Genomic DNA, 12,910 nt, shown 5'->3' on the forward strand with positions numbered 1-12,910 from the left:
ATGGGGGTGGGGTCCTGGCTGCTGAAGAGCCAACTGGGACCGCAGAGGCCCCTCTGAGAGCCCTCAGGCTGCCAGACACAAAGCCTGTACCACCTTCAGGATCTGAGCAAACTCAGTGAGGCTGGACCAGTGAGGAAAACGCCCTCCGTCTAGAAGAACAAGTTACTCCTTCCCCTTCTAGAGGCCCTGGGAGTTGTCCTAGGCTGTTCTTACCCTGGCCCCTTCCCACTTTAATCTAACCGATGACCAAGCCTCCTCCATCTGCTCCTAGGGTTTCTCACCCACCCACCCTCTGCCCTCCATTCTCATAGCCTACCTCAGATGGCTTTCATCATCTTTTATCTGGCCCCTGTCAACTGCCTCCTAACTCCCATCCCTCCACTTAGTTTGTGCTCTAAAACATTCTCCTGGCTAGGCCTGGTGGCTCACACCTGTAATCCTAGCACTTTGGGAGGCCACGGTGGGAGGATCTCTTGAGTCCAGGAGTTTGAGACCAACCTGGGCAATGTAGTAAGATCCCATCTCTATGAAACACTAAAAAAAATAGCCTGGCATGGTGGCACATGCCTACAGTTCCAGTTACTCAGGAGGCTGAGGTGGGAGGATGGCTTCAGCCCAGGGAGTTGAGGCTGCACTGAGCCATGATTGTGCCACTGCACTCCAGCCTGGGCAAGAGAGAGAGACTTTGTCTCAATCGATCAATCAATCAAACATTCTCACCAGTCACCAGATACACCCTTCCAAGGCACAAAACAGACTGTGCCCTTTCCCTGTCAAAAACCTTCCACTGCCCGGCTGGGCGCGGTGGATCACGCCTGTAATCCCAGCACTTTGGGAGGCCGAGGCGGGTGGATCACGAGGTCAGGAGATCGAGACCATCCTGGCTAACACGGTGAAACACTGTCTCTACTAAAAATACAAAAAAATTAGCTGGGCTTGGTGGCAGGCGCCTGTAGTCCCAGCTACTCAGGAGGCTGAGGTAGGAGAATGGCGTGAACCCGGGAGGTGGAGCTTGCAGTGAGCCGAGATCGCGCCACTGCACTCCAGCCTGGGCGACAGAGCCAGACTCTGTCTCAAAAAAAAAAAAAAAACAACAAAAAACAAAAAACAAACAAACAAAAAAAACACCTTCCACTGCCCCCGCCAATAGGAGAGAGAAAAGAATTCCATAAACACCCGTACTTCATACTTCAGTATCATGGCAGACAGCGCCCACCGCACGGTTGTGCCACCTGAGTCCCATAACAGCTCTCTGACCCAGGCAGAAGTCCCCTTTGAAAGATGAGAAGCTGTGGCTCCAGGGGACACATGACTGGCCTAAGGGCACTCAGGAGGCCTCCTGGAAGCTGGGTCCCTTACCTCCAGCCAGGGACCCTCCCAGTGCCCATCCCCTCCCCTAATTACCTCTAAAGACCCAGTCTGGTTACTTGCTATGAACCAGTCTCAGGCATTGGGAACCACAGGGATGGGCCAGAGACACACACAAACCAAGAAAACATCTTTGTGGTATCACAAAGCAAAGTGTGAGATGTCAGCCGGAACCAGGAGTGGCCAGCCTGGACGGTTGCCACTATGGAGGTCCCCGGAGTAAATGTCCGCCTACCCTCACTAGGACCCGTGGGAGGCCAGTGTTCCAGCGGCCACTTCAGGAGACACAGGGTCAAAGGGCTGATGTGTCTTTCTGTGATTCCGTCCTGAGGGGCCAGAGGGGTGTGACCAGGGAGTGCCTGCCCCAGCACATAGGATGCCCCAGTGTGGAGTCCTTAAATGAGCAGGCAGCACGTGTTTACTGGAACCCATATTGAGCCAGAGAAACACAAGAGAGGTAAAAATTATATCATTGTAAACAAGAAACCAAAGTTGCTTTTCGTTAATGAGGTGAATAAAACTGACATTTGCATCAGTCATCTTGCATCCAGCACAAGAAACCTGCCCGTGGGTAAGGCCGCCCTCTTGCGTCGCTGCCTTGTAATGTCAACTCGTCTTAGCCGCATCTGCCCCTTCTCCCTGCGTGCAGGTCAGCACTTGGTACGTTCCTAGGGAAACACCAGGCTTCAGTTGGCTCCTTGGGGCAGGGGCAGCAGCCGCCCAAGCCGGGCTACAGCTACTCTATCCGAACCAGTTTGTTCCTTGACACTTTTTACATGTTTACGCTCTCAAAAATTATTGAGGATCCCAATATGTTTATGTGGCTAATATCTACTGAGTTATACCATACTGGCAACTAACACTGATAATTTTAATATTTATTTAAAAATTTCATTTTATAATATAACTTTTTCTTTTTCCTTTTCTTTTTATTATTTTTTTCTTTTTTTGAGACGGAGTCTCGCTCTGTCACTCAGGCTGGAGTGCAGTGGCACAATCTCGGCTCACTGCAACCCCTGCCTCCTGGGTTCAAACAATTCTTGTGCCTCAGCCTCCATCTCATGCCTCCTCAGCTGGCACTACAGGCGCCACCACACCTGGCTAATTTGTTTGTATTTTTAGTAGAGACGGGGTTTCATCATGTTGGCCAGACTGGTCTTGAACTCCTGACCTCAGGTGATCCACTCGCCTCAGCTTCCCAAAGTGCTGGGATTACAGATGTGAGCCACTGCGCCCAGCCAGTATAACATTTTAATAAAAATAACTAGTTTTTTTTTAATGTACAGAAAGTGGCATTATTTTATACTTTTGCAACCCTCCCTTTAAGACCTGGATTAGTAGAAGACAACTGATTTTCACATTTGCTTCTAAACGCAATCTCTCGCCGTATCATATCATGTAGCCTCTGGAATACTCCGCTGTACACCTGAGACAGAATGAAAGTGGAAAGGGCAAATAACGTGTTTGTATGGTTACATATTTTTATTTTTTCCAATCTGAATAGCAATCAGTTTATATTGTTATGAAAACAAGTTTGATCTTGGGACGCTCTGTCTTGAAAGTCGTGGGAATGCCCAAGCAGCCCCAGACCACTTTGAGCACTGCTGAATTAAGAATATGGTCATGTGACATCGGGCACGGTGGCTCACGCCTGTCATCCCAGTACTTTGGGAGGCCGAGGTGGGTGGATCACCTGAGGTCAGGAGTTCGAGATCAGCCTGGCCAACATGTTGAAACTCCATCTCTACTAAAAATACAAAAAAAAAAAAAAAAAAGCCGGGCATGGTGGTGGGCGCCTATAATCCCAGCTACTCTGGAGGCTGAGGCAGGAGAATCTCTTGAACCTGGGAGGCGGAGATTACAGTGAGCCGAGATTGTGCCACTGCACTCCAGTCTGGGCAACAAGAGCGAAACTCCATCTCAAAAAAAAAAAAAAAGAAAAGAAAAAAAGGATATGGTCATGTGAGCCTCAAGTCTGGGTGTAAATCTAGAACCAAAAAAAGGGAAAGTTTCAGTGTCTATCTTCAGCATCCAAGTCCCTTTTTTTTTTTTTTTTTTTTTTTTTTTTTTGCCTATCCAAAGAACCTAAATTGCCTGAGACGGGCAGGGTTCATGCTCCTGCAATGCTGTGTGCGCAGGAGAAGGGAGGAAACACCCCCCTCCTCACTCTGTCAGGTGAGGTCCTGACCTGCAGGCCTATCACAGGCAGGAGGGTGAGCTGTTCCAGGCAGGCATTCCAGCCATCTCTCGCTGGCCTAGCACGTTTCAGAAGATCACTCACCCATCTTCCTGCTCAGCCACTGCCTAGAGACTGCTCTCGGCAGCTCTAACATTGTCATTTCAGGTTACTCTCGACCTCCTGAGCAAACTGGGGACAGCCACTCTTTCCTCTAAAACAAGAAAGCTGAGAAAAATGTCTTCTTTGTCCTAAGAAACAAATCCGTCCCTGATCCAACTCTTGCCATCCAAAACCACTGCTGAGAGGGCTTGGCCTGGACCCCCTTGCTCTTTACCCTCCTGGGCTCCCTTGGCACTTGTGTGGCTCGTTGGGATTTGAGGAATCACTCATTTTGCGTAGTCGACAGTGGTCTTCAATGCCTCACCCCGCAGAGAAATCTCTAGTGATGGAGATCTAAGACCAATGGAAGAGCCACCAATGGGTACATTTTAGGGCAGGAGGCTTTGGGGCGTGTTCACAGCCATCCTCATTCCATGACAGTGTTGGTTGAGGTGTACGGGAAGGAGGTGATCGGTAGTGATACCCTGGCAAATGGGGTTTTGGGGTCCGACTGGTGTGGTCCTGAGACAGCCACTAACCAGCTGTGTGACCTTGGGAAGCTCTCTTTGTTCTTTCTCAACTTCAGTTTCTTCATCAGTAAAACTGGACTAATAGAACCTACCTTCCCAGTTGTGATGACATTGAGAGATATGAAAGGCCCTGAGGCACTGGCCAAGGACTCAAGAGACCTGAGGCCTTAACCCCAGCTATTTCATGTCCTGATTATGTGTGACTAGGACAAGTCCCTTTCATCAAGACACTGCCTTCAGTGTTTATCTGTACTCTGTCTAGTTACATATCATCTCTGTTCTCCTATCGCCCTTGCCCCAGCCATCATCATCTGTTGTCGTAATTACTACAGGAAATTGTAACTCATTTCCTGGCTTCTGCCCTAGCCCTCCAGCCCTGACTACTCTCCGTGTAGTGACCAAAATTAACTCTAAGTCAGATCATGGGATGTCTCTGCTTAAAACCCTCTAACGTATCTCAGCTCACTCAGAACAAAATTCAAGTTCTCATAGTGAGTGGCCTTATAGGCCCTACAAAATCTGTCCTGTCCCCTCTCTGACTTCACTTTCTACTCCCACCCCTACTCTGCATGCCCCATAATGCCAGCCACACTGGTTCCCTTCTGTTTCTTCAACATGCTAGGCATCCTCTGACCTCACGACCTTTGCACTTATTGTTCTACTGCCTGGAACCTCTCCCCAAAATGTTACATGACTTGCTTCCTCATTTCCTTCAGACCTTTGCTCAAAAGTCACCTTTCAGAGAGACTTTCCCTGGACACCTTTTCTAAAACAACATTCCATCCATCAGTTACTGGCATCTTACTTTGCTTGATTTTACTTGCCACGTCATAGGTGCTCAAGGCTTATTAACTTGGGTTGCATTGGGCTACCTGGGCTATAACTTCTCCATCTTTAAAATAAGAGAGTTGGACTGAAATTCGTAGAGCCCTGCTAGCTCTAAAGTTCCATAATGCTGCTTACGTCTCTGTGCTGGAAAGCGACTTATAAACGAAAACAAAATAGTGTCTGTAATTGTGTTTGTCTGCCTACATTGAATGAATTACTTAACACGATTAGGAAGGTTCCCGTTACTGTCTCCTGATTCAGCTGAACATCACAGGAGCCTGAAACCTCAATGCAGGTTCTTCGGATGAACAAAGAAACAGAACCCGAATGCCAAAGATAGCCTCTGTTTAAAAAACATTTAGATTCTAGATCTGTACCCGGACCTGTGGCTCACATGACCATATTCTGAATTCAACAGTTCTCAAAGTGGTCTGGTGCCCCTTAGGGTACCAAGAACTCCTTCAGGAGGTCCTAAAGTCAAGACAGAGGCTACACATTGGTTCACCTCTTCCTGGACTCTGACAGCAGCCCCCAACTCCTTTCCTTGATTCCTGTCCCTTTGCCTCCATTGGGACAGCCAGAAGGATCTTTATAAAATGCTGCCTGACCTCTCTGTGCTCCGCCTTAAAGCATGCCAAGTACTTCCCAAGGCTTTCTTGGCATTTCCATGGACACACACTCAGGGCATGGCAGAAAGAAAGGTGTTCCTTGTCAAACTAAATAACAGGAAGATTCTAAAAGAAAATGATGTTTATTTGGGAATAGACATTGCCATGGGCATATGAATATAGTTTACTGTGATACTCATATTCCCATTGCAATGCCCATTCCTCAGTAAACATGATTTTCTTTTGTGGATTCTTCCTATTTGTTATTTAGTTTGACATAATGGTGTCAGAAGTGGGATTACATAATTGTTTTGAGACAATTGTCCTTAGCTACAAGGATTAGTAACAAGGATGGTGAGCTGAGTGTGGTGGCTCACACCAATAATCCCAGCACTTTGGGAGGCCAAGGTGGGAGGATTGCTTGAGCCCCGGAGTTCAAGACCAGCCTGGGGAACATAATAAGACCTCATCTCTACAAACAAATTTTTAAAAATTAGTCTGGTATGATGGTCCCAGCCACTCAGGAGGCTAAGACAGGAGGACTGCTTGAGCCCAGGAGTTCAAGGCTGTAGTGAGCTATGATCACACCACTACACTCTGCCTGGGCAACAGAGCAAGACCTTGTCTAAAAAAACGAAAAAAGAAGAAGAAGGAGAAGGAGAAGGAGAAAGAAGGAGAAGGAGAAGGAGAAGGAGAAGGAGAAGGAGAAGGAGAAGGAGAAGAAGAAGAAGAAGAAGAAGAAGAAGAAGAAGACGACGACAACGGTGGTGAGGGGGATGGTACCAGTCTGAGGTTCGACAGGCAGTTGATGGGCAGATTTTCATACAGAAGTATTTTTTTGGTAAGGCTGTTTTGGCCTTTATGCAAGATTGTGAAGTTGGTGAGTCTTTTGTGATAGTTGTTGTTATAAGGTATTTGTGCATGACAACCCTCCCTTCATGGGCTTCCCTAGCTCTATTTGTCTGAGTTTTTAACATAAGTAACTCCATCCTGATTCTGACAACTTCCACGTTTCCCCCTTTTGATCAAGATCTTTCTCCAAAAGCACTGCTGATCAATATTCCTGTAGTTAGATTTTGATTGTCCCCCAGTGCTGGGACCTGTCCCAGTTTGGCTTGGTCTGGTCCCACCAAGACCAGTTGTGATTAGCAGCTAGGAGTCAGTGTCAAAACCCTTTCAGCCACATTGGAGCAATTAAGTTCTGGAGGGAGTGACCCTCAGGCTAAGTCTACCTAGAATCTATTGTTAATTTCAGTTTTATCTGTTCTGTAGGCATTTGTTATCATCTCAAAGTATAGGCCAGCATTATTTGTTAGGAGTTGTACTTCTGCAAAAATTTAACAAGTAACAAATAAAAATGTAAAAGGAAAATATCAAGTAAAATAATAGTCTCAATTGGTGTAGTAGTTTTGAGTCATGAACTAGACCCAAAGGCAACCAATGAATAAATGAAATGATTATGGGGAATTAGGTGAGACTTGTAACCATGTGGCCTGTTTTTCTTTTAAACTTTGCGTATATGAGTCTCAACTTTTCCAGAGGAATTTATCCAAGTACAGCATGTAGTATTAGCAATAGTACAGACATTTATTTAATCAATAAAGAATATAGAGCAGTTTTATCATCTAGTATCCCATGACTGGGTTGAATTAAAACAGTGAGCAACAGTTGTATTAGGGATGTTGCCAAGGTCACCCACTAGGTGGACTAAAGGATCTCTTAGGTCAGGTTCTGTCAAGTTACAAGCAGAAGCTACTGATTATGAAATTTCAGTTATAGCATGATCCTGCCAAGTGAAAAATAGAGGCATCAAAGGGTAAGCGTCTCATTAGGATATGGAGCCTGGTTCCAACATCTTGGGAAAAGCTGTCTACAGCTGAATGCTGGACCACCCACCTCTCAGTGCAATCGAGCCTTGGGGGCACTGGGTGCCTCTCTCTGGGAAGAGACAGAACCCTTGGGATGAGGGTGTTCCCCAGGACCTAGATGGGGAAGTGCAGTCTGCAGAACCAAAGACATTCAGGATGGAGAGGCCCTCACATCTTGTTGATAGTTTCTGAAACACAGGGGTCTCTATTTTTATTTTTATTTTTTTTGAGATGGAGTCTCCATCTGTCACCCAGGCTGGAGTGCAGTGGCGCAATCTCAGCTCACTGCAAACTCCACCTCCCGGGTTCAAGTGATTCTTTTACCTCACCCTCCCAAGTAGCTGGGATTACAGGGGCGCCACCACACCCAGCTAATTTTCATATTTTTAGTAGACATAGGGTTCTACCATGTTGGCCAGGCTGGTCTTGAACTCCTCATCTCAGGTGATCCGCCCACCTCGGCCTCCCAAAGTGCTGGGATTACAGGCCTGAGCCACTGCACCTGGCCATATTTTGAAAGAGTGAGAATTGCCATTGGCATCCCCATACCTCCACCCCAGTGGCCCCTCTATATCATATTGGGCCCTAAAAGCTGTAAGGAGTCTGTTCTGCCACCTAGCAGGTGTGTGACCTGTGGCTGCACACTTCTGGGCCCTTCTTGCTTCATGTGAACAAAGTGGAGATGCCAGGTATCTACTGAGAGGATGCAATGGAAGTTGAAGGGTGTGTGCAAAGCAATGTTGACACGCAGTTGTCCTGCTCCACTCCTGGGGCCTCTGGACCAAGAGCCAGGATTCCACTGACCTGCCCTTGCCAGAATTCTTATTAGGACCCCAACCTTCCAAGCGCAATGTCTTGCCCCTCTGCCCAGTCCTCAGAGCACTGGGAGCCAGGCATATCGGGGCACGATGGGTATGGACGATATGCTGATTCTCTGAGCTCCAACAAAGTTGGGGGATGCACAAAGAACCTCCTGAAGCTCTTCCAGGGCCCTATGTCCTGGAACATCTATCTCTATGCTCAAAGCACCTTGCTTTGTTGGGGGAGTGGGGCAAGGAATGGATGCCCAGCCATTCCCTGAGCATGCATGCTCCCCGCCACTTGCAAATTTGCAAGGACAAGAACTTCCTTTTGTTGTGATGTGTGTGCATGAGGTTTAACAGGAAGGGAGTGTGTGTTCTCAGTTAACATGGCTTGAAACCAATTTCAAGGTAATTGAGAGGCTTCCCGTTTTCTGTTTACGTTTCACTTTGCTAAGTGCCCATTACAATTTCACTTTGCTAACTGCCAGAGTAAGGGGTCACCTAGAGCCAAAGCCACGGAGAACCTGAGTGTCTGCAGCTCGGCCAGAGTAGCTATCGCTGAACTTAGCCTGGGCGGACTCCAGGGATCCTGGGGGAACTTGGACACCCCCTCCATGACTTGTCTCAGCCCCCGCCCTCACCCTCCACAGCTGAGACTGGTACTGCCCAAGCCTCCTGCCCTCCTCCACTCACATGCCTTCTGCTGTTTGTTTCCTGGTGCTCTTCACCCCACCCATCCCCAAGCCCCAATCCTAGCCCCAGCCGCCTGGAGGGAGGCCCACAGGCTCTCCATCAGCCAGTCCCAAGGGGATCCAGCCATGTTCCATAACCTGCCCACTCCTCATTGCTCTCAGGGGATCCAGGGCTGGCTTTGCCCGGGTCTCCTCATACCTGCTAGCATTTTTTGGAGCCGGAGCATTGCTAAGTATTAGCTGTCCCTCCACCCTTTGTCACTGCAAGCGTCCTCCTTAACTCCTTTCCTAACATGCCCGTAGCTATTGCTCCTTACCATCCACGGCACTCACATATCACACTGGGATAGATTTGGCCAGCCTCTGTTTCTCACCATCCTATTTGTATTCTGTTTCTGGGTATTGCCTTAGCCTCCTCAACCAGACTGAGCTCGTGAAAGGCAGGGCTGTGGCTGAGCCTACCCTAGCAGTCCCCACTGAGTGCATGGCCACACACTGAACACATAGGGGTACTGAGAAAATGCCTGCATGGGTAATCTAAAGACGCTGTGTCAGAAGTTGGGGCGAGGGCATGGATAGAGGATGTGGGACTAAAGAGACAGAGGTGGTGTCCTGGTGTGTCCGGAATTGGTTCCTTCTGGTGGGTCCTTGGTCTCACTGACTTCAAGAATGAAGCTGTGGACCCTCACGGTGAGTGCTACCGTTTACTTAAAGATGATATGGCCCAAATTTGTTCCTTCTGATGGTCAGACGTGTCCACAATTTCTTCCTTCTGGTGGGTTCGTGGTCTCACTGGCTTCAGGAGTGAAGCTACAGACCTTCACAGTGAGTGTTAGAGCTCATAAAGGCAGCAAGGACCCAAAAAGTAAGCAGCAGCAGCAAGAGCTCTCCCAAAGAGCAAAGCACCCACAGCATGGAAAAACACCAACGTAAGTTGCCGCTGCAAGCGCGGGTGGCCTGCTTTTATTCCCTTATCTGGCCCCACCCACATCCTGCTGATTGGACCATTTTACAGAGAGCTGATTGGTCCATTTTGACAGAGTGCTGATTGGTGCGTTTACAAACTTTTAGCTAGACACAGAGTGCTGATTGGTGCGTTTACAATCCTTTAGCTAGACACAAAAATTCTCCAAGTCACCACCTGATTAACTAGACACAGAGCGCTAATTGGTGTGTTTACAAACCTTTAGCTAGACAGAAAAGTTCTCCAAGTCCCCACCTGTCCCAGAAGCCCAGCCGGCTTCATCTCTCACTGGGACTCGCTGCTGGACTTTGCAGCACCAAACCCCGGCACTCCGGCAGCCCACAGGGAGCTAGTCCCAGACAATCGAGGAAAAGAAGGGAAGCGAGAAAGAGAGGGAGACCTGCTATTGTGGCCAACGATCCCGCGAAGAGGCAACGGCGGTCCACGAACGGGATTCAGCCTCCCATCAAGCCCAGCCGGCGCTCACCTGGAACCCGCGCAGGCCCGCAAGCACCGTGTTCAGCCCCGGCTCCCGCCCGCGCCTCTCCCTTCCTCCCGCCCGCGCCTCTCCCTCCACACCTCCCCGCCAGCAGAGGGAGCCGTCTCCGGCCTCGGCCAGCCCCAAAGAGGGGCCCCCACAGCGCAGCGGCGGGCTGAAGGGCTCCTCCAGTGCGGCCAGAGCGGACGCCGAAGCCGAGGAAGCGCCAAGAGTGAGGGCTGCTAGCACGTTGTCACCTCTCACTGGGAAGGACACTGAGTTTGCCCTGAAGTTACTGTTACAATAAACATCAGGAAGGAAGAGAAACAGATCAATGTAAAAATAATGAACTATGGGCCGGGTGCGGTGGCTCACGCTTATAATCCCAGCACTTTGGGAGGCCGAGGCTGGCAGATCACGAAGTCAGGAGATGGAGACCATCCTGGCTAACACAGGGAAACCCCGTCTCTACTAAAAATACAAAAAATTAGCCGAGCATGGTGGTACATGCCTATAGTCCCAGCTACTCCGGAGGCTGAGGCAGGAAAATCGCTTGAACGCAGGAAGCAGAGGTTGCAGTGAGGCCGAGATGGCGCCACCTCACTCCGGCCTGGGAGACAGTGCGAGACTCTGTTTCAAAAAAAAAAAAAAAAAAAAAGAACTAAACAGAGTCCCTAACAGGTCACCATCACCAGCTACAGTGACACATTCCCCGTCTGGAGCGGTTGAAACCCATGGAGCAAACAGGGTCCTGAGCAGCCAAGACGGATGTCACAAGCTCCATGCATGAAAGCTTATGCTCTTTACCCTGAGCTGAACCCCTCCGTTCTCTGTACTCAGGAATCCCTGTTTTTATGAACATTTCTAACAAATGCAGGCATCCGGTTTGTAAATACACAAAAAAGATTAGAAGCAACAAATCAGTCTCATTAAACTGCTTTAGGCCAACATTCTGACAGTGCTGAGAGGTGACAGGTGATAGTCTTAGTGAGGGATGAGACTGTTCATCTTTCGAGGGGTAGCCTGAGGCCTCCAGAAGCCCAGCAGCCTGGGGTCATCCAGTGCAGGGCAGAGTCAAACCCAACAAGGCAGTGTCCTCTAAGCCCCTCCTCATTCTGTAGCTCAGTGTGGGAATGGATGTTCACAGTGATTAACGCTGCACAGTGATTAACGCTGAATCATGAAGAAAAGCTAAGTGATGTTCAAGACTCTCTGTTTAAGAAGATAAGGGCCAGATGCAGTGCCTCATGCCTAAAATCCCAGCACTTTAGGAGGCTGAGGCAGGGGATTGCTTGAGCCCAGGGCGTTTGAGACTAGCCTGGGCAACATAGCAACATCCGGTCTCTCAAAAACATTAGCCAGGTGTAGTGGCACATGCCTGTAGTCCCAGCTATTTGGGAGTCTGAGGCAGGAGGATCTCTTGAGCCTGGGAGGTCAAGGCTGCAGTGAGCGGTGATTGTGCCACTGCACTCCAGCTTGGGCGACAGAGCAAAACCTCATCAAAAAAAAAAAAAGAAGAAGAAGAAAAAGAAGAGGGCCGGGTGCGGTGGCTCATGCCTGTAATCCTAGCACTTTGGGAGGCTGAGGTGGGCTCATCACGAGGTCAGGAGATGGAGACCATCCTGGCTAACAGGGTGAAACCCCATCTCTACTAAAAATACAAAAAAAAAAAAAAAAAATTAGCCAGGCATGGCGGCGTGCGCCTGTAGTCCCAGCTACTTGGGAGGCTGAGGCAGGAGAATGACATGAACCCGGGAGGTGGAGGTTGCAGTGAGCCGAGATCGCGCCACAGCACTCCAGCCTGGGCAACAGAGCGAGACTCCATCTCAAAAAAAAAAAAAGAAGAAGAAGAAGAAGAAGATAAGGAAGTGTCTTATTCATTTTAAGTAAATTTTCCTCCAAAACTTATTGGTAGCTTCCATTTCTGGCTTTTCAGGCACTTTGTTTACATGCTCTCATCTGGGAGGTTGCACAAGTTATTGCCATTTCAGAGATGAGGGCAGGTGACTCAGCAAGGGTCCCATGGCTAGTGAGTAAAAGGGCAGGTCTCAGTATCAAGAGTTCTGCAACCAGCTCCACTTCCCCTCGCTGCCTCTGTCCAAGTAACTCAGGCCTCTGAATGCTCCAGGTGCATGCTACTGTCCTGATGTTACAAAATGTCCCCTTCCTCAGATGTCTCCTTTTCTCTGGTCTGTAACCACCATAGCAGCCTGGGGCTGCTGGGTGTGACTTTCATCCCTACTGTATCTCTCCCATTAGCACACATCAGCGCTAGGGATCTTACTTACCACTGATAGCACTTTGGTTTGAGCACCAGATTGCTCCAGATCGCTTCTTCAGGAAGAGATGGCCGAGCGTTACTCCATCACACCCAGAACCCAGAGTTAAACATTTACCAAGATGCAGTATGTCACAGTGGGCTCTAGGATCAAACTTCCTGGGTTCAAATTCCAGCTCTGCTACTTACTGTATAGCCTTGGGAAGGTCACTTAA

The 12,910-nt window shown here is 48.8% G+C and overlaps 1 long non-coding RNA gene across 1 annotated transcript in view, besides 1 other annotated feature; it reads left to right on the forward strand.

The window, feature by feature from the left end:
* The window catches only part of LAPTM4A-DT (LAPTM4A divergent transcript), a 65,743-nt gene that overhangs the window by 44,264 nt on the left and 8,569 nt on the right, over positions 1-12,910 (forward strand). The window lies entirely within an intron of this gene.
* Positions 10,408-10,702: an enhancer, noted in NCBI's record as "tiled region #8017; HepG2 Activating non-DNase unmatched - State 13:Ctcf, and K562 Activating non-DNase unmatched - State 13:Ctcf". NCBI's record gives its function as "activates a minimal TATA promoter and a strong SV40 promoter by Sharpr-MPRA in HepG2 and K562 cells {active_cell/tissue: HepG2 | K562}" and the evidence as "EXISTENCE:reporter gene assay evidence [ECO:0000049][PMID:27701403]".

The sequence above is a fragment of the Homo sapiens genome, chromosome 2 (genome assembly GCF_000001405.40).
Source record: "Homo sapiens chromosome 2, GRCh38.p14 Primary Assembly".
Classification (NCBI taxonomy): Eukaryota; Metazoa; Chordata; class Mammalia; order Primates; family Hominidae; genus Homo; species Homo sapiens.